Source organism: Homo sapiens, chromosome 15 (assembly GCF_000001405.40).
Source record: "Homo sapiens chromosome 15, GRCh38.p14 Primary Assembly".
Taxonomy (NCBI): Eukaryota; Metazoa; Chordata; class Mammalia; order Primates; family Hominidae; genus Homo; species Homo sapiens.
The window spans coordinates 95,971,588-95,991,454 of record NC_000015.10 but is presented as its reverse complement, the minus strand read 5'-3'; the positions used below and the strand labels follow the sequence as shown (position 1 = coordinate 95,991,454).

At 41.9% G+C, this 19,867-nt stretch overlaps 1 long non-coding RNA gene across 1 annotated transcript in view; it reads right to left on the bottom strand.

Moving 5' to 3' along the window:
• LOC112268156 (uncharacterized) overlaps positions 1-1,020 on the bottom strand; it is a 236,909-nt gene extending 235,889 nt beyond the window's left edge. Inside the window, exon 1 of the long non-coding RNA XR_002957737.1 lies at positions 571-1,020. This is a non-coding gene — a long non-coding RNA (uncharacterized LOC112268156). The remainder of the gene's footprint in view (positions 1-570) is intronic.
• Between the last annotated feature and the right edge of the window lie 18,847 nt (positions 1,021-19,867).

Sequence of the window (19,867 nt, the reverse complement as noted above, 5' to 3'; positions counted from 1 at the left end):
AATCCTTTTCATTCAGTCCCAGACAAGACTCTTTACTTGTTATAACCAATTCGGACCCAGTACAGGTGTCTGACTGCAAGAGACAAGGCTACGTCAGTGAAAACTCTGCAAAACCAGAATCCCGATTGGCCCGCTCTGCAGAGGCCTCCTCTGGGAAGGCCTCATCTGGGAAACCCACCTTCAGGTTTCCCAATCCATTCCATTGGAATCAGATATTTTCCTCTCGTAAAATTGGCCACAAAATACAAAGTGCCCAAAGCACTTCATCAAACCAGCCAAAAAGCACAACTCTTCTTGGCTTTCTAAGAATGCCAGCTATATAATGAAAAACATCAACTCCAGCCTCCCACACGCGTGCCCTAGTTGGACAGGAAACAGCACTTTCTCCTGCCAGAGCATCCCTGCCCCTGCCACAGTGACCAGCGCAACCTGGCAGCCCCACAACCACAACCACAACCACAACTAGAAACCAAACTTCAGTTCTCACTGCTCCCCAGCTCAGGGTGCAAACTTCTGCTCTCAAACTGTTAAAGTGAATCATCAAAGGTCATTTAAAAATGTGGCACTTACTTGAATCAATGTCTTCTTGAGCCTTTTGAAAGGTGCAGCAGGCATAAAATTTAATATTGATCGTTGGGGCACATTCCATTCCCCCTTTCAGAGTCATTTCAGAATGACAAATCATTTGTTTTGATCCATAGCAGAGCAGGTCTACTGGACGCACGGGAGTCCCGGGCCTTCTTATTTATGCTAAGCTTTCTTTTTTCTGTCCACTTCTCTCAGTTGTTTCTCCCCGCCTTAAATTTCCTAGTTCCTGCCGTCCCCTTCTGCTGGCTCCTCTTAGCTCCTGTTCTAATTTCAACTGTCATTTCCCCTGCTCTCCCGAGTGCTCTGAGCTCCTGTTCTAATTTTTCATGTCTTCTCCCAGCGCTGCCCTCCTTTCTGCCTCTCTGGCCCTCTCCTGCTCGCCTTCCCTTTTTCTCTCACTTTTACTCTTCCGTGTCCCACCGGAGACTTTGCCTCAGGTTTTGCTTCATCTTCCGTTTTCTGCATAATGTTTAATGCAGCCAGTAACACAGTGTCCATCCAATCCACTGCCTAAATCACAGATTCACAAATATAATCCTATCTCTTCTAAATATTTCCTCCGCCACTTGCAGATTCTACTTTGTCAAAGAAAATATCCTTTTTTAAAAAAAGATTCCTTGGTTGATAAGAGACAAATACGTGGAGTTGATCTGAAAACCTCTCAATCTGATATAATTCTGTCCCAATTTAATTTTCTAAAGAAGTTGAGATGGATTTTCAATGAGTATAAGCAGCTAAAAGTGGTGAATGATCTTCTGTGAGCCCATCATTATCTAAATGGAAAACTAAGTTAAGGTTGCGTTTTGTAAGAGTCATTTCTCAGGGGTCTTCCTCCTCCCTCAGTTGCATGCAGAAACAATTGCACTCTTGTTAATTACAACTGAAATAATTTGCATTATTCACAACCTGCTACACCAAATGTATAAATGGCAAACAATCTGGATGGAATTTTGAACACACTGATTTGGCCTGGTGTGAAAGAAATTCTCACCAAATGTGATGTTGGGGTATGGAAAGCAATTCATAGTTGCCTTGGATATCCAGCCTTCCTAAGACAGGTATTGATAGGGGATTCTATCTACCTGTTTGCTCTTAAGGGCAAGAGGGCTCTTTAGTACAAAACTGTCCCAGCTTTCGGGATATGAATGTTCCATATTAATGAATGCATTCATGTCCATGTAAAAGAATATAGACATGATGCCAGAAGACACTGTGAGCTCTAGGTTCTTACTCAAGGGTGAGGGCATCTCTCCTAGACTTACATAAGAACACCAGTTGGCAAATTGAAACAACTTAGTCAGCCACCTGGTGATTTCCAGGAGGCTGTGTTCATGTGATGTATTTGGCCAGTTATTTTGGCAGAATGCCTCCTTACCTGAAACATAACATTTTAAGTTTGTTGGGAGTATACAAATGTAAAGGAAGAGAAAGTTTGTATCGAAAAGGTCAGAGTTTAAAACCGTACATGTTGCATCTTATGTTTTCAAAAAATTTTCCAATCTTTCTGGAACTAATTTCAAAGCACTTTAAGAAATTATTCATGACATTATATTCTTGGCTATGTATTATTGTTATTATCTTTACAGATGGCAAAGAAAATTTGGGGTTATGACATTCAACCCACATTGACTCAATAAACTTTCCGAGTGTCCACTTTGTACCCAGCACGGTGACGATGGGTGCAGGGGTCATAAAGATGAATAAGCCCAAGTTCTTTCTCTGGAGGGACTTCCAGTTAAAGGTCATGTCAAGGGTCAACCAAAAAGCCTCATCTCAAAATCTTAAACCCAAAAACCCTTCTCCACACAACATCCCTGGAGTTAAAACTCTCCAGGGCATTTGCCATAAAAAAGAAAAGAGCATAAAACACATGAATAAATGCCTGTACATATGTTACATTTTTCACTCACTCCTTACAAAATTTACAGAATATATACAAACTTCTCAAATACATGGTGGAGAAAAGAAAACGAAATGCAAATTTAGCCCCATGTAAGTTTCTGATTATTCCCCGCTTCCGATTAAGTTATTTTCCTTTTCTAACAATCTCCAGGTTTTTTTTTTTTTTCCATGAGAATGAGCAGAAAAACAAAAACATGGGGGAGGGGGAGACTCATAGCTCTGTTGAGAAACAGGAAGTTATATGAAACTTTGTTTGCCCTTTCTGCTGTGAAGAAGTTTGCCAAAGAGCTGTAACCCTGCACTCTGCTATGTAAACCACCTACAGAAATGGCAGAGGTCAGCGTGGGAAAAGAAGGGCCGCCTTGGGCCCAAAGTGACAACAAAAGTCAGTGCTTCCAGGCATCTCAAGATGAAAAGTAGAACCGTTCAGCAGTTTAGAATTGCTTGCTTGCTTGCTTGCTTCTTCCTGTTCTTCCTCTTTTCTCTCTTCCTTTCTTCCTTTCTCCCTCTCTTCCTTCCTCCCCCCTCCCTCTTCCTTCCCTCCCTCCCTCTTCCTTCCCCTCCCTCTTCCCTCCCTTCCCTTCTTCCTTCCTTCCCTCCTTCCTTCCTTCCTCCCTTCCTACTTTCCTTCCTTTCTTCTTTGCTTAATTTTAAATCATTATAAACTGATCATATTATACCGATCTTTTCACATGTAGTCTAGTGACCTCCACTGAGTCAACACTAGAATAATATAATCTCTTTTGTTGCTGTTGAATGCCCAGCTCCTGTTTTCTTTCTGCAGTTGTGTGTGACTATGAGAATTCAGAAGGAAATACCATCTACAACAGGAATGTTCAGCCTTCTTTTTCCATCCTTGTAGGGTTACCTGGGGATGCCACAGGGGGCCTCAGGGTTGCTGAGGAAGGCCATGGCGCTGGGCCCAGCAGCAACTCTTTTCTGTTATGTAGATAGGGGTTAAATCTATATGTTTTGAAGAAAGGGCTCTGTGGCTAAAAACAAATTTTGAAAAATTGTGGCTCCAGGGAATCTTTGGGGCTACCTACTGAAATATCCAGATAATTGAAGGTTCTTTTGTGCCTGGTGTTTGCTTTTGTTTCCCCCTCAGTTTCTAAGGTACTTGCTGCCTTTTCCAGTCACAAGACGGAAATGTCTTTATAGCTTCAATGGTTACAGGTGTAATGTGGCAGAAAATTCTGATTTTAGGCCTGTGGCCTTTCTGAAATTTTTATTTCTGTTGGGTCAGTTTAGCATTAGCCACACTGTGGCAAAAAGAAGCTGCTTATGAGGCTGTTATTTACGCTTTTGGGCAACGGAGGTGTCACTTAGTTTTTTAGACCAATATTTAATTTTCTACTCCCAGGAGTTGACTTGCAGCAGTGGGTCACACTTGAGTATGTGACAGCATCTTCTGGAGGGTGAATCACACGTGGTTGTCGGGCCATCCCCTGGAGTGGAGCCTAAGAACATGCATTTTTAACAGGTTCCCAGAGGCTGCTGCTGCTGGTCAGGGAAAGTCTCACTCTCAGAACCAACAACTGAGAATCATATTTCTTGTGAAATAGATGAGTTCTTAGGACTTCCCCTAGGAAATTTTGATTTAGGGGGTTGGGAGAGAGCTTAAGAATCAGTATTTTATTTCATTTAAATTTTGTTTTCTTAAAAAAACCAAATGCCTCAGATGAAACTTAATTTCTGGGAAACGTATTTTGTCTGTGTATCAGTTTGATAACTAGCTACAGGTTGTTTGCTGAGTTAGGCAACCAGTGGCCAATCTTCTCCAGATGCCTAAATGTCTGATTTAAGACAGAACAAGAAAGACAATTGGTCTGAATCAATTCAGCAATGGGAAATTAGACTGGATGTTGAAGGACAAGTGGGAGTTTTCTGGGTGTGATAGGTGGGTAAGGAGGATATTCAGTTGGAGAAGTGAGGTGTGCAAAGTCACAACAAAACCAGAGTGTGGCAAGCTGTAGAACCAGCACCTGATTTATGAAGGCTCCAGGTGTTCTGCGGCCTCCTTACTATGTGCTGCCATAACAATCTGTTTTCCCTTCAGTTTCTCTGCAAGACTGAATGTTGGACTTCTTTTTAAGGGCAGGGAATGAGTCTTGGGCCTCTTACTCAGACGGTGGTGTGCTCACGTAGGCCTGTAAATGCATGATAGGTAAATTAGCAGTGGGCAAGGAGTTGAGAAGTCAAGTTAGAAAGACTTAGTTTGGTACCAGATTACAGAAGACCTTCAATTCCATGATAGGAAGCCCGTGCCTAAAAGTGTTATGAAGCCATAAAATTAGTTAATGAAAGGAATGCTCTAATATGATTTGTGGATTCAAAGCTTACTTTGGGGAAAGCATAGTAGATTTGAGTTTAAGGTAGAGGCCACAGGCAGAGAGATCCACCAGGGGCTAGTGCCATGGATTTAGAAAAGAGTTGATCTACACAGAATGAGGGCTTCTCAGTGGTGGCAGAGAGGAGTCATTCTCTCTTTCCATAAGCATGTTCTGAGCATTTGGATATCACATGTCAGACGCTAGTCTTGACACTGAATAACGCAATGAACAAAACAAAATCCTTGCTCTTGTAGAAGCTATATTCTTGTAGAGGAAATTTATAATAAACAAGGAAATACATAAAAAAAATTTTAGATATCATAAAAAATAGAGTAAGAGGCTTGAAAGAGGCTACCACATGCTACAATGTCTTGACATTTAACACAAGGTAAGAACAAATGCTGAAAAGTGTCTCTTGTTTTAAATTTGAGTCCACTCTGAAAGGTATAACATATACAGATCCAAGCGATTTTCTTTTCTTCAGACTGAAACTTTGGTGAATATACTACACGTGTATAGGGGTTCTTTGTAATGTAACTAATATATTATCCCAGGCCCTTCACAATTCCTTCATTTAATGCAAAGGGGAGTATGATGTATGATGGAGGGTATTTTATTATGTATAATCACACTTTTTATTCTGATGTTGATGAAGATAATTTGATTCTCCCCATTTCAGTCAAGATAAATCCCATCTATCTATCACAGGGTTCATAGAAAAACCTATGGACAATTTGTACAACTGCTTCAAAAGGAGAGATTCACTCTCCTGGTCTCCTAAAGGAACAGTATTGTCTACTTGTTGGCCAAGCCCTGAAACAAGCGATCATGCTGCTTTACCAACCTTCCATTTAACTCTGGGCAAATGCACTTTCATCCCTCTAATCATTATGTTAACCATCTGTGAAAATGCATAAATCTCAGATTCCAGAAGTCTGATGAAATCAACTAGAACATAATTAAGCTTAACCAAATCTCTCTTCTCTGGGGTGCTCAGCAAACTATAACAAGGCCACAGCTGCAAAAGTGCGTTTCATGAAGCAGTGAGTGGAGACTGAGTCCGTCAGGTTTTGAAGGCATTGCAGATGTCGGTTTAACTTACAGCACCACTACCTACTATTTCTGTGGCCTTGGAGATGGATTAACTTCTCTGGGCTTATTGTCCTTCTCTATAACATGGTTATAACAGCACCAATCTCAGCATATATCTCAGTTGCAAAGGTTGAAAGAGATTGCATATGTGTACAAAAGACATATGAAGTATCTCACCGTTTCAGGACTTACAGTCTTCTCTTAGGGATTCTGCCAAACTACATGGATGAGGCTGGGGCAGCCACATTTGTAGTATGAAGTCCTGCTTTCCTGTCCATTGTTGATTGGAGAATAGTGGGCCTCTGCACCAACCCAGACTGATCTGGGATTCTCTTTTCCCACAGTTGGCACTTGCAATTGGAGTTGCTAAACTGAGTCAAATCAATGTCAGATTTCTTGGGAGATAATGAATTCTTGCTGCCCGCTTCCTGAACTTCCCAGGTTCTCTTCTTCTTAGGTATCACTTCTTTCTCAAATTTTATGAGATATCCCCCTATTCTTCCCATAGACCTCTCTTTAGTTGGAATTTGATTCTGACTACTCACATTTCAAATAAATCCTTAAGTGTTTATAATTAAATGCTTGATACTCTTTTGAATATGTTCCTTCTAGAGTTTCCTGTTTCAGCATGTACACAGGTTGCACCACTGGACATCTTAGCATCTCTCTAGAAACTGTCCTTTTCCTTCAGCACCATATCAAGTCCATCTTGAAATCACCTTGAAATATTTTGTCTCAAATGTTTCTTTTCTAAAACTTTTCAAGTGACACTTCTTTCTCACCTAGGCCACTCTCTATCAAAGGTGGCTTTAACACCTATTTTCCAGCTTTCTTTCAATTCATTCTCCAAAGGGAAGCTGGAGAGAGAGAGATCCTTCCAAACTTTAGTCATACTGGATCATGTAACTCCTCTGCTAAAATAATTTAAATGGACTCCCATTGCTCTTGGAATACAATCCTACCTCTCTGCCATCACCTACAGGATCCTTTCAGCTCTAGCTCTGCCCATCATTTCATTTCCACCTTCTACTTCTCCTGCAGGTGGGCACTTTTCTTGCTTTGGTTGTTTCCCAAAGGTTCTTGCTCTTTTCTGCCCTGGGGCTTTTTCATGGGTGGTTTCCTATCTCTGCACTTCTCCCTCAGATGACTGTTATTCAACTACCTCATCTCATTTCCATCATTTTCCGCAGAGATCTTCCCTGACCTCCTGTGATATCATGATATGGTAAGAAATATGTATGTCATTCTTCCCTCAGTTTCCTGGTTCACAGCTCCGAAAGCCCTTGGAATCTCTGAAGTGATAAATTTTTGTGTGTGTGTGTGTGTGTGCTCATGAGATGATGGATGGCTGGGGCACCTGGATAGCCTCAAGATAGAGGCTGGCTGCCAGGGGACCCAACCATGTGATTGGAGTTGCAACTTTCCATCCCATGCCCTGACCTCTGGAGTGGGAAGAGGGGCTGAAGGTTAAGTTGATTATCAATGGCTAATGACTTAATCAATCATGCCTACATAATGAAGGCTCCATAAAAACCCCAAAGGGCTGGGTTCAGAGGGCTTCTGGGTTGCTGAGTGCATGAAGGTGCCAGGAGGCTATGCCTAGAGAGGATGCAGGAGCTCCATGATCCTGCCCTCATACCTTGCCCTGTACATCTCTTCCATTTGGCTGTTCCTGAGTTACATCTCATTAATAAGTAAATCTAACTAAAATATTTCTTTGAGTTCTGTAAGCCAGTCTAGCAAAATAATAAAACCTGAGGAGAAGATCATATTAACCCCTGGACTTGAGATTGGCATCTGAAATGTGTGCAGTCTTGTGAGGCTGAGACTTTAACCTGTGGGGTGGGATGTTATCTCCAGGTAGATGGTGTCAGAATCAAGTTTAATTGTCTGCAGAGAACTGGAGAATTGCTTGACGTAGGAAAACACCCTATACATTTGGTCACAGAAGCGTTCTGTGTTGAATGTGAGTATAGAGAAGAAGCAGTGTGGGTTTTCCCCATTTGCCTCCACATCCAAAGTTGATCCCCTCATAATATATTTCTTCGTAACCCTGGTGGTAAAGAGGCCCTATAGATACTTACAGGTATCTACAATTATATATGTATTTACATGGCTGTTTAATCCTCATGTCTCTGGGGAGACTATATGCTCTAAGAAGATAAGACTGGATGCTACATGAAGACAGGGAGCACATAGCCTTTACTCTCCCCTATCCCCAGTGCCAGAAGATGATAAATAGAGGCTATCTAGACAGTTGCCCCAGCATCATGAAGTTGAACAAAAGAAAGACAGATGTCACCTAAACCAAGGGGAAGCAAGGTGTGTCGGCATCACTCAGCCAACTGACCTGGAACCCGGGCCATAAAACACATTCAGGACTTTCAGGTGAAAGTGCTGGGCAAATACTTTCTTCCATTTCTCCGTCTAACTGTGGAATTCTGCTAGGCAGTCAATGCAAAAGTATAGACATAAACCAAGGTCGATGAAAGTGCTATTACATTCAGAGGGGATATTTTCCATTTGTTTTCAAATTAAAGTCTCATGCAAGTAGCAGAAAAATACACCACAGATTCTTTAGCTTGATTGTTTCAACTTTTAATAGTGAAGTCAATATGTGCCTCCAACTAACTGCTGGGTATTGTTCTGTGATTGCCAGGTTGTTTTATGTATGTGAAGCAACAAAACAATATAAGGTGACAAACAAAAGATGGAAAAATATATAAAAGGGGAAAAAAAAAGTTGGCTGTGTGCTACCTCGGGCTTTAAAACTCTTCTTATACACTTCACCACGAAGTCTATTAAAGCAAAGTATAGTGGAAATACAATATACCGCAATGAATGTCTTCAAACTAGCAATTTAGCGCAAAAGCTGAGGGCAGTTCTTATGCACCGACTTTTAATACCAAGACGATTTGTGGTCTCACAAAGTTCCTGCCTTAGGCGAAAGTTGTGCTGAGTTCTAATAGGTCTAGTTTGTTGGCTGTCAGAATAATGGAGAATTGGGTAGCGGAGGGGCTAGATGCTGTAAACAGCAGAGATAATTAGAAGGTCTGTGGAGAGGCAAGTGAAGCTGGTTTATATTTGGTCACAGGGGAAAGTGTTTGTTCGGGAAACTCCTGGCTGACACAGCACAATCTGAATCTGAGACTGTTTATTTTGAGAACTTTTGTGGGTCACTTGGCATGTTAGTATTTTTTTATTATAAGGCTACTGCTATTATTAATAGTAAGTTGCCATTTATTGAACACCTACTATTTGCTTAGTTCTGCTCCAGTTCTTCTGTATCCCCGTTCTGCAGAGAAGGAAATTGAGGCTCAGAGGGTAGGTTTATTCGATGGCAGGTGCTAGCAAGCCATAGTCCTTACAATAGACTAGAAACTGTATTTGACCGATATGTTGATGTCTTCTTTTGAGGCACGATTACTATTGCCAGAGTATTTTCACTGATAATCCTATGGCTTCAAGTCTAGTTTAAATTTCCAGTAACTGTAGAGGCAGAACTTGGCTTCCCAGGAAGAGGCTGAGATTGAGAATGAGGCTCTCAGAACTAATGTAGTAATGACAGTCCCGAGGCTGATGTTTTCTAGTAATTCATTTTCATTTTATGTAAATTAGCGTGGAATCCAGATTGTCCTTTATAATAAAGCTATCTTTACTCAGTGGAGAAAAGTTTGTTTTGTTGTCCAGGAGGACCAGGTGGTCAAGTCATTGCAGCACTCCTGTGTGACAGCCCCCTCAACGTGCCCCAAAGTGATCACCCTGTCAGATAAGTCATGGCTGAGGAGGGTAAGAAAATCCACAGGTGAATTCCCAGGAGGTATGGAAGGGCATTTTTCAGTTGCTATGATTTTGCCTTGCACTCTACCTGCAAGTGTTAAGCACACATGACAAGTCACCCGCCACTAAGGGACGGGGACCATGATCAGTGGCAACCTAGGCTTCGGGGAGCTCAGTTACACACATGGGCCGATCTTGTTTTTCTTAAATAATAAATAGTAATTAGCATTTTCTAGCACGTCATGGAATGTCTGCACCGTCCCTCAAGAAAGCTACAACAAAATTGGGGAATTGACAGGAAATGAGATACTGAAGCTGTCACATGCAGAGACCAAAGAGATGGGGATTACTCAGGCTGGAAAGGGGGAACTGAGAGATGGCGTTATTATAAGCACATACAATACTCAAAGGTATGATTAAGGACTTGTTTACCAAACACTGGATCATTCAAACAAGATGGCTTCATTAAGAGGCCTCCTACATTGTTCCTTTCCAGGCAAAATCAACTTCCCTCTCTCTTGCTTTGCGCTCACACTTACAGAAATTTGTTTCTCCTCACTTAGGCCTTTGGTTCAGTTATTTAGGAGAAGTAGCAGGTGTAGCGCAAAGGGCACTAGCTGAGAGGTTAAAAAAGTGTGGATGCTGGTCCTGGCCCTGCCATTGTTTTCATTATGTCTTGGGGGCTCACTTTGCTTATCTCTGTAATGGGAATGTTACAACTTGCTAAGATGTACATAAAGACCTCACAGAACTTTTTGAAGGTCAAATGGGAGAGGGTGTAGAGAGTGCTTCATTAGTGAGTAAAGGGTTTTTCTTGGACACCTGTTTGCCTCTCATCACATGATTTAGACTCCCTTTATTTGAGCTGTTGCCGGGGCAAAAACTTCACGGTGCTGTAGCTTGACAGACCCTCCTCCTGGCTGTTCCAGGAATCTCTTGCTTTCTGGGCCAAAGCTTCTCCGATGGCATGTTGAGATTATTCAAGCATTACTCAGATCATCCCATGAACAAACTCTTGAACATGGAGGTACAGAAGCCAGAGGATGAATAACACTGTCTTCTGCACTTGAGTCTCAGACTCATTCTCTGTGCCCTTCAGAGCATAGACCATGATGGATTGATGACCACAGATGGATTGAACTTTGGTGCCCATCGTAGTGACCCACTCAAGAATGTTCCCTCATATGATCTTCTCACCTAGCTCCTACATATGGGGTCTGGAAGGCCTGTCTCGGGTCCTGCTTTCTGGGGGAAACTCAGAGTAAGTCAGTGCCATCCAGCAATGTGTAGCTATGCCTCTCCAGCCCTCTATACTTTAGGCTCTGAGTTGATCACAATGATAGTATCTTGGTCAAGGCTAATTATCATATGTCATAGCTCATTTGTGGACAACGAAGTTCAAGTGAGACTCAGCATCTGACTGGCTTGGAAGCTGTGGTGCTCTACATGTTTCTCTCAAGCAGCAAGGAAAGTTTGAGAGGACAGTTCTTAACAGTCTGAAACCCACTCTCCTGCTGATTGAGAAACTGATGGTATTGAAGCCCCAGGAACAACATGCTTTCCATGTAACAGATTTCCCCAGTCTCATGGCCACTTCATCAGCCAAGTCTCCAGTAGCCCTCACTTGGACATATTACATCCTAATATGTTCCCAGCATTTAGCCTCCACCTTTCCAACTACATGTGCTGACCAGCAGTCAGAGTCATATTTTATAATTCCGAACAAATTGCATTACCCCTCTATGTAAAACCTGTCTACGTTCTCCTACTGCTTTCAGAATGCAATCCAATCTTTTTATCACCAACTCCAATGCCTCCAGAACCTGGCACCTGCCTACCTCTTCAGCCCGGCCTTGTCGTCCCTCCCTCTTTCACCACACCAGAGCTACACAAGGCTTCTTTCAGTTTCTTGGCCTCTGGCTTGAGGGCCTTTTGCTGCTGTAATTTTCTCTGATGGGGAGCTATTCTTTCGTCGATTCCTGACCAGTTCCTCCTCTTTCCGGCCTTTGGTTAAATGTCATACCTGCAAAGCAATATTCCCTGAGTCTTCTATTTAAATAAAGTGTTCTCCTCTTTCCATCTGTCATCAGTTATTATTCTCTTTTGCGCGGACCAACAAACTTTTTCACTAAAGGGCCAGATAATAAAAATTGTAAGTTTTGTAGGCCACAGGGTCTCTGTTGCAACTATTTTACCCTTCAGTTGCACATTAAAAGCAGCTGTAGGCAAAACAAAATGCTTAGGCATGACTGTGTTTCAATAAAACTTTATTTACAAAATCAGGGAGCAAGTAAGCTGGATGTGGTTCTGGGGATCCATAGTTTGCTGACTCCTACACTATTGCTTAATGCCTTTGGTTTCCTTAATAGCATTTATTGCAATTTTTAATTGTCCCTGTGCTCATTTACTTGCTGTTTACCTGCCCTCATCAGCCGACTGTTCTCCCTATGAAGTAGGAACCATAACCCTTTGTATTTTTAACCACAGTGATCTCACTGCTTACAAGCCTATAAGGGTTGTTGGCACCTAGTAGACACTCGCTACAAATTTGAAGAATAAACAAAAGAATAAAACATCTTCCCTGTTAATTCCCAACTCAGCATCTTATATATTTATTTTGTTTGTTTCATAGAACTTATTTCAATTTTTGATTGTTTAATTTTTCTGTTTTTGCAAGTTCCATGAGCATAGAAATGATGTCTGATTTAATTGATTCACCCCTCAGCAATTAGCATAGTGCTTGGCACATAGAAATCCAAACAATTGGGATGAATAAAGAAATGAATAAAGGAGTAATTTAGATTGAGTATTTGCATGGGTAAAAGGAAGAATTGACTTCCAGTTATGATACATTTTGGTTTAAAAACATGTATCAGTGAGAGAATGAATGAATTAATGCATGTATGGCACATGCCAACTAGCTCTGCAGAGCCCTGAGTAATAAATTCTCAAAATTCTCTAAATTGATATATCCAGCAAATCCTATGGGAAAATAAAAAAAACTAGTTATTTGCCACCATCTAAATAAGTCTCTTTAGCCACTTAGAGATTTGGTAAGCGGACAACTTCTCAGGCTTTTTCCAGGTGGCCTTTCAATGAATGTAATTCTGAAGGGTTAACCCAGAGGGTGACCCCAGCTGCGTGACCCCAGCTCCACTGGAAGGCTCAGTGTGACCCGAGAGGACATTATTTTCTGGCTGTGCGGTTCCATCATTATCTGCCATTAAGAAATGATTTCGTTGACTCATGGTCATAACCATGTCTCTGTCTCCATGGAAAATATTTAAACTGCATTTAAGGACTGCAAAACTGGAGAAAAAAAAAAGACATAATGCTTTGTAACACAGAGGAAAAAGAACGAAGTGAATAGTGTGGCAATACCTCCTTGTTTGTGTGGGGCAAGGCTTGTTTTTGTCTTTTTTCCCTCCGTGAAGTCGTTATTAATAGTGTCCCCTTTCCATCTCAAAAATGCCTGATTTGGACAATAAATTATCCTGTCACTAGAAACATAAGGGATAAGTTATGTTTCTTTCCTAAGGACAAGATGAACATACTCTGGGTGCCTACTGAGTTATCAAGAGTTAGGGCTGTGGGAACCTCAGACTGTCTTCTTTGGCTTGTTGTGAGTAATATCCCTGTTCATGGTCACCTATGCAAGTTTTGGTGGCAATAACAGTGGCTCCAGCAAAGCCAATTGAAATATTTGATTATCCTAAAATAACCTCTCTGTATCCCACATCACTGATGGAAACCTGAAGGTCTGAAATGCTGACCCTGATCTTTAGAAGGCGTTGATGCCACCAACTCGCACTTGTTTTCCCAGAGGTACTCAAGATGGTTTCAGTGAAGGCTCTTCCTCCCCACTGGCTCTCTTCAATCCCTGATTTTCTAGCAGCCATCAGGAGACTTGGGCATGAATTCTCTATGGACCAGTGAATTACAAGTTATTCAGATTGATGCCAAGGATAGTGATTAGAACACTGGGCCTGGAAGCAGAGTGCTAGGCTTCCAATTCGGGCTTAGATATTTACCATCTATATTATCTTTAGTCTCCCTGTGCCTCAGTTTTTTTACCTGCAAAATGGGGGAGTTATAGTCCCAATCTCCTAGTATTGCTACAATGATTGAATGAATTAACCCCGCGAAGATACTTAGAAGAGTGCCAGACATATAGTGCTCAGTAATTGTGTTATTATTACTATCTACTTATACTGTAATTCTCTCTAGCATTATTACTATCTTCTTGTACTTAAATAGCTCTCTAGATAATATTTTTCAATCTTTAGGCAAAAACCATTTTCAAAAGATTTGAGAAATGCTCACTATCATATGGAACTTTGTAATAACAGCTATATCATAAATTCTATTGGCATATTTGCTTTCACATTCATGAAAACAGTCTTGATTTCCTTAATATTTGCCTCACTGTATAAAGTCCTTAAATATTTTACAATTTTTGTACCTCTCTGAACCAAGGCTACAATAAACTAAATTAAATTAATTAGTTCAGATAATTATTTTAGCTAACCATCATCTTATATAATGTGTCAATTCAACACTGCTTCTTTGTTCTAAAATATCCTTTTGACTGACATATAAGAACAAAGTAATATAAAGTTCAATTCTATTTAATAGCATCTGATTTTATTCTCTCCACAAGTCAGATAATTAAGTAATTCCTCTGTAATTATTAGTATTAATTTTATATGTCCTTTCTGGTTACCAGAATTATTATTTCTTCTTTTAGAGTAGCAATTATTGTTAATTTAAATCCACATTCTACACTGACTCCTAGTAAATGACTCCAAATCTTAAACTATTGTGTTTGTTTAGGCCCTAAAAACATGCACTCATATAACTTTTCCATTTCTTAGCTCATTTAATTTGTGATTCAGTTAGGTAGTTTTACAAAGTTAATTTGGTTGTATCTGAAATCTAGACATTGTTGTTATTTTATAATACAAAATATGTGCACAATTATTTTTTCATCGTTCTAGAATAATTCATTCTTTAGTTTTATGAGGGCCTTATGGACTATTAGAAAATATCTAGTACAATCTGTTCCTTTTACAAACCTGAGGCCTGAAGATGTTCCAGGACTAGCTCAGGTTCATCCTGATAATGTTCTTCTGGTTTTTCACGCTTTTCATCATCTCTTCTTTTCATTTGGAAATGCTTCTCTGTTTCTTTTCCAACTATAATCTTTCATTCTGGAAGCCAAACATGGTTGATCCTCAGCTGTAGGAGGGCAAGGTATAGGATCTAGAAGGTATGGCAAGACATGCCCATGATATTAAGAGAGGAGCAGATTTAGTCTGGGATGGCTCTTGAAGACTCTTGGGTAGGTAGACGGTTGGGGTGGGTAGGAGGAAATGGCCTAGGAGTGACGTGACGGTCTGCTTAGAAGGGACTGCTGTTGGCTGTAGAGAGAGGGAGAGGGAATGTGAATTGATTCTTTCAGAAGTGGCTTTCACAATCTAGAGCTCGCTGTGAGAGCCACCGTGAGCAGGTGACTTGGTCATTAGCACGCCCATTCAGTCGTTGCCAGGTTCCACACTCCTCCACTCTGAAAGGTCTCTCCACACTGCCCCTTCCTCTCCAGTCTCGTGTTACCTTCCTGTTCAGGTGTCCACTAGAGCTATTTGGGCTTAGCGAGCACTTCCTCACTGGGCTCCCTGTCTTGGTCTCTCTCCACTCTGCTCCATTCTGCACATACCCTCTAGTAGGCCCTTTGTAGTGCACAAATATGGCCTTATCAAGTGCTCATTTTAAACCTCAGCAGGCTTTTTATTGTCCTGCAGGGTGAAGTCCAAATAATTATCTTCACATTCTGGCTCTCAAATGTCTTCCTGGCTCTCTCCAGCACCTCTAGCCATTCACCCTACTGATGGCTGCATCGTCCTATCTACACACTAAGGGGTTTCTTCTCCTTTGTTTCCTTCCTCCTTCCCTCTTTTCTGTCCAGAAGACCTCTGTTCTTAGGCTCAACTCACATGCCATTACCGTATTGGTTCTTCCCTCTCTTCTTCCAAGCAGTATGAGATGCCCACTCTTTGTATTCACTGTGTCTGTGTGGATCTAGAATAAGGCAATGTTTACACTGGAACAAATAATTTATGTGCATATCCCTTCCATTGTTAAGGTCTCATTTAGCATCGAGTAATTGTTCAGTGCTTACACCAAGGCTGAGGACATAGTAACTTCTCAATACATAGTTTCGAAAGCATCTTTTGTTTCTTGGTACACAGTTCAGGGGAAGACAAAGATATAGAAACAAGAAGACCTAAAATAGTTGCTTAAAGACCATAAAAGCTTGTTTCTCTTTTACATTCAACTCGAAGATGAGTAGTCCAGGTTGGTGGAAGTTCCCTGTTCCACAGAGTCATTCAGGGACTCAGGCTCCTTCTGTGGGGAGTTTCCAGTTGAAGATAGGTCACAGCCCCTACTGAGTTCCAGCCAGCAGGAAGGAGATAGAGGCATGGAGGAGGCAACGACCCAAGGCCCAGGCTGGGAAATGGCACACATTACTTCTTCTCATATTCTTTGGCCATAAGTCAGTCATATGACCACATCTAACTGCAAGGGAGGCAAGGAAATGTGGTTTATCCATATGACCCAGAAGTAGGGAAGGATAGATTTTTGTGGGCAACTAGCAATCTTCATCCAACTGATTTGTTAAATGTCTTTGTAGCTGTAAACTGACTCTCCATGCCTGGGCCCTGAAGCTTCATGGCCATAAGATTTCATGCTTCGTGTTAAGAAAGAATATCTGTCTACGTGCAAATGAATAAACTGTCTGATATCAAATAATCTTCTGTCTTTAGCCTTTCTTATCTTCCTTTAAAAATGATCATAAACTTTCCTACTTAAACTGTCAGGCTTTATTTTCCTCCTATATGAGGAAAAGTTCCTGTACATTAACTTCATCTTATTTCTTTGTTTAATTAGACAGTCTCTATTTGGCATAACCCAAGCCTGATTTAAATTTCTTTTTTTTCCCTCATCTATTGTCTCTCTTATGGCCTTTTGTAGAAACTGTACTAATTTAGTGAATCTTTTATCTTGATCAGCCTCATCAAGCAAAGAAGTTACTTTTTTTTTTTTGGAAGTGTTTGTGAAAATTCTTTTGTATAGCTACTTCCTCTTAGGGGTTGGTCTTTTGTGCTTCTTACTTAATTCCATGGCTGTCAGTTCTAACTAAGGATGCTCCCAGTAGTGATGCTGGTGTAAGAGACAGTGTCTGCTTCTTTGGAACAAATGAATTTTAAAGATCCTCGTGGAGCACCTTAATGTCCCTCTGCTCAATCTCTTAAGAACCCACTTTTGTATCTATTAAATCTATCAACAGCCCTGGTGTTTGCGGGGGACAGGCTCTGTTTTCTTGATAAATTCATGAACACACTTTATTGTTTGGCTTTTTCTTAATCTTAGGTATAGATTTTCCTAGAAAAAAAAACCTAGGATGGTTCTGCCTACCTCCTCCTTGCAAGACAGAAGTATCATCAGCGTGCTGTTTTCAGTTTTATTGGTAGATCTCTCACAATGTGCTCTAATCTTTGAAACTGGGAAGGGAAAAGGAACCTCCCTGCTGAATTCCCCTCACAGCCCCTCTGCTGCGGGGCCCTGAGGCTCTGGAACCAGGCAGGGGTCGGGGGAGCGCAGTCTTTAGCTGTGCTCCTGCCCACTCATTACTTCCTCTATGAACCACAGCAGAGTTATGCTTGGACAATTTGCCCTGTTGTTCTCCACTCTTCATTGCCTTTTGCACCAGTCAGAACAAAACGCTGAGTCTCCCATGGATCAGAAAGAAGGGGAAAAAGGGGGCTTATCCATTCTCACCCATACACACCACACACACACACACATACACACCACGCACACACACACGAAAATATAATGCCTGTTTTCAAGCACCAGTTATGTACTAAGCACTTTGTATATACTGTATGCAAATTTCTCTTCATCCTTATAAACTAGCTGTTAGTTATTATCTCCTTTGTGCTCATTTGATCACTGAGCTTCAAGGGCCATACAAGCAGGCTCAGCTGACCTGACAGGACCTTGGGCAGAGAGGGCTGTCAAGAAGGTCCCCAATTCAGCCTTCTGCTGCCTTCTACATCTTGCAGCACATTTGCCCCTTTGAGATAACTGAAATTTTTTGAGCCTTCTGCTACTTGAGAAGATATGCTCCCTGGAGTTTCTATCCTTTGCAAAATCCTGGGCAACCTTGTCCGTTCTTCTGTCTCCCAAATCTGGACCTAGAATCCCTAACATCTCACCTAAGCTCGTGATGGGCATATCCAGGGACTTCTAAATTCATCTTCTGGCTATTCATGAAGAGTTAGCATCCTCTTTGCCCCACTCCACCCGCAACACACATATACATTCTTTATCTGCTATTATTCCCTGACATTTAAGACAGAAACCAGGAGTCACCCTCAGTTCATCTCTCCCCTCTAGTCTCCCATCTAACTGATCAGTGTGTCTTGCAGGACTGACGAGGGCAAAGCTGGGCCTCAGTGCTCCCGATACTCAGGCCCCAGTGGCCTCTTTTTGGAACAATTGTTTTGGACTCTTTCACTGACTCCTCTGCCTTAGGTCTCACTGGCTTTGATCCCGCTTTTCTATGGTGGCCAGAGGGACCTTTCTAAGATGCAGAACTAACCAGACCACTCTCTAAACAGAAAATTAAGAAACCCTGCAGAGAGCAAGTCCAGGCCCAGTCCTGCAGCATTGAGGCCTGCCTCCTCTCCGTCGCACTTTTATCTTGCAGTCTGATCTCCAAGCCCCACTCCCTTTGGAATATGCTAGGGGCTCAAGTGGTGTGAATGTCCCCAACCTCCAGGCTGCTGGTCTAGTTGTATGAGATACTCTCATTGCGTACAGTGCCCATATCCTTACAGTTAAAGCCTGTTTAAGACAACCCTGCCTTTCCTGCCATAACCTCACACTGACTAGAGACACACGCAAATGGGCAGGCATGCGTGCCCCCCACCCTGCCAAACACAAGGCAAGCCAGGCGTGCTTCTCTTTAACCATTATAAAGATGAATTTGTCTGCCCTCTCTTTCTTTGAAGAAGTCATCTCCTTGAGGACAGGCATTGTGTCTCTCTTCCAGTTGTCTCCAGCCCCTTGCCCAGGCACCTCCAGGATCATATTTGTTGCGTGGTTGATTTGTCCACTGCCAGATGTTCAGGAGCATGTGTTTCTTTGTGGAAGCTCTGCACTGCCACAGCCTACTGTGGTGCAGAGTCAGTGACTAATAAATGCTGGAATGAGGAGAAGTCATCCCGGCCTCCTCACTTCTCCTTCTTCACAGAAGGACTTCGCTGGCTATTCAAGTCCTGCCCTTCCTCCAGCAGAAACGTTCCTCTCTAATCGCTCTGTTGCAGATAGGTTTTTCTCAGCAGCTGGATGGTTCTGGCTATCTTGAGTCAATTTTCATTCTTGCAACACAGAGGATTTTTGAAAACACTTTCAGAACTTGGGAGCAGCGAGAAGCAGACAGTGCATGATTGCATTGGGACTCAAGAGCAAACCTCAGCTTCCTGGCTGTGGCCATGTGCCAGGCACTGGCGCTAGTGAAGACAGAAAAGTCTTTTGAAGTGCTGCAGATTTAAACCAGGGAATCAGTTAACATCTCCCCAAGCAGCCAGTAGTGGGAACAAGAAGTGTATTTGATAATGGAGAGATGCTGGGAGAATGGCTGAGTCTGTGCTTCCCTTGTGATAAAGGATGCTACAGAGCAGAAATTAAAACGAGAGGACTAGGGGGTGGCAAAGCTGCTCTCATTACAAGAGCGGCAGGCATGGGGTTATTGTGTAGGAAGAAATCGGGCATGAGATTGGAGGGCCTTATGAAGGCTTGCACGGGTATTTCCTTGTTGGTACTTGTGATGGAAATCCAGTTGCTAGCAGAGTTGTAATAGAAAGTGCCTCTCCTGGATTCCTTGATTCCTCGTGATGAATTTTTAGGTAACCGTGAGGAAGAGAGCAGGCAGCACCAGCCCTGAGGGATGGGCACCCCTTTGCTTATGTTCTTCAATTTCATCATACTTTCCTTTCACAGTATCAGTACTGTTCGTGTGCGTGCGTCCATACAGGCAGCAGTGGAAAACGGAAAGCGTATGGACTTCAAGTTTGAATTCACACCAGAGTTGAAATACAGTTCTT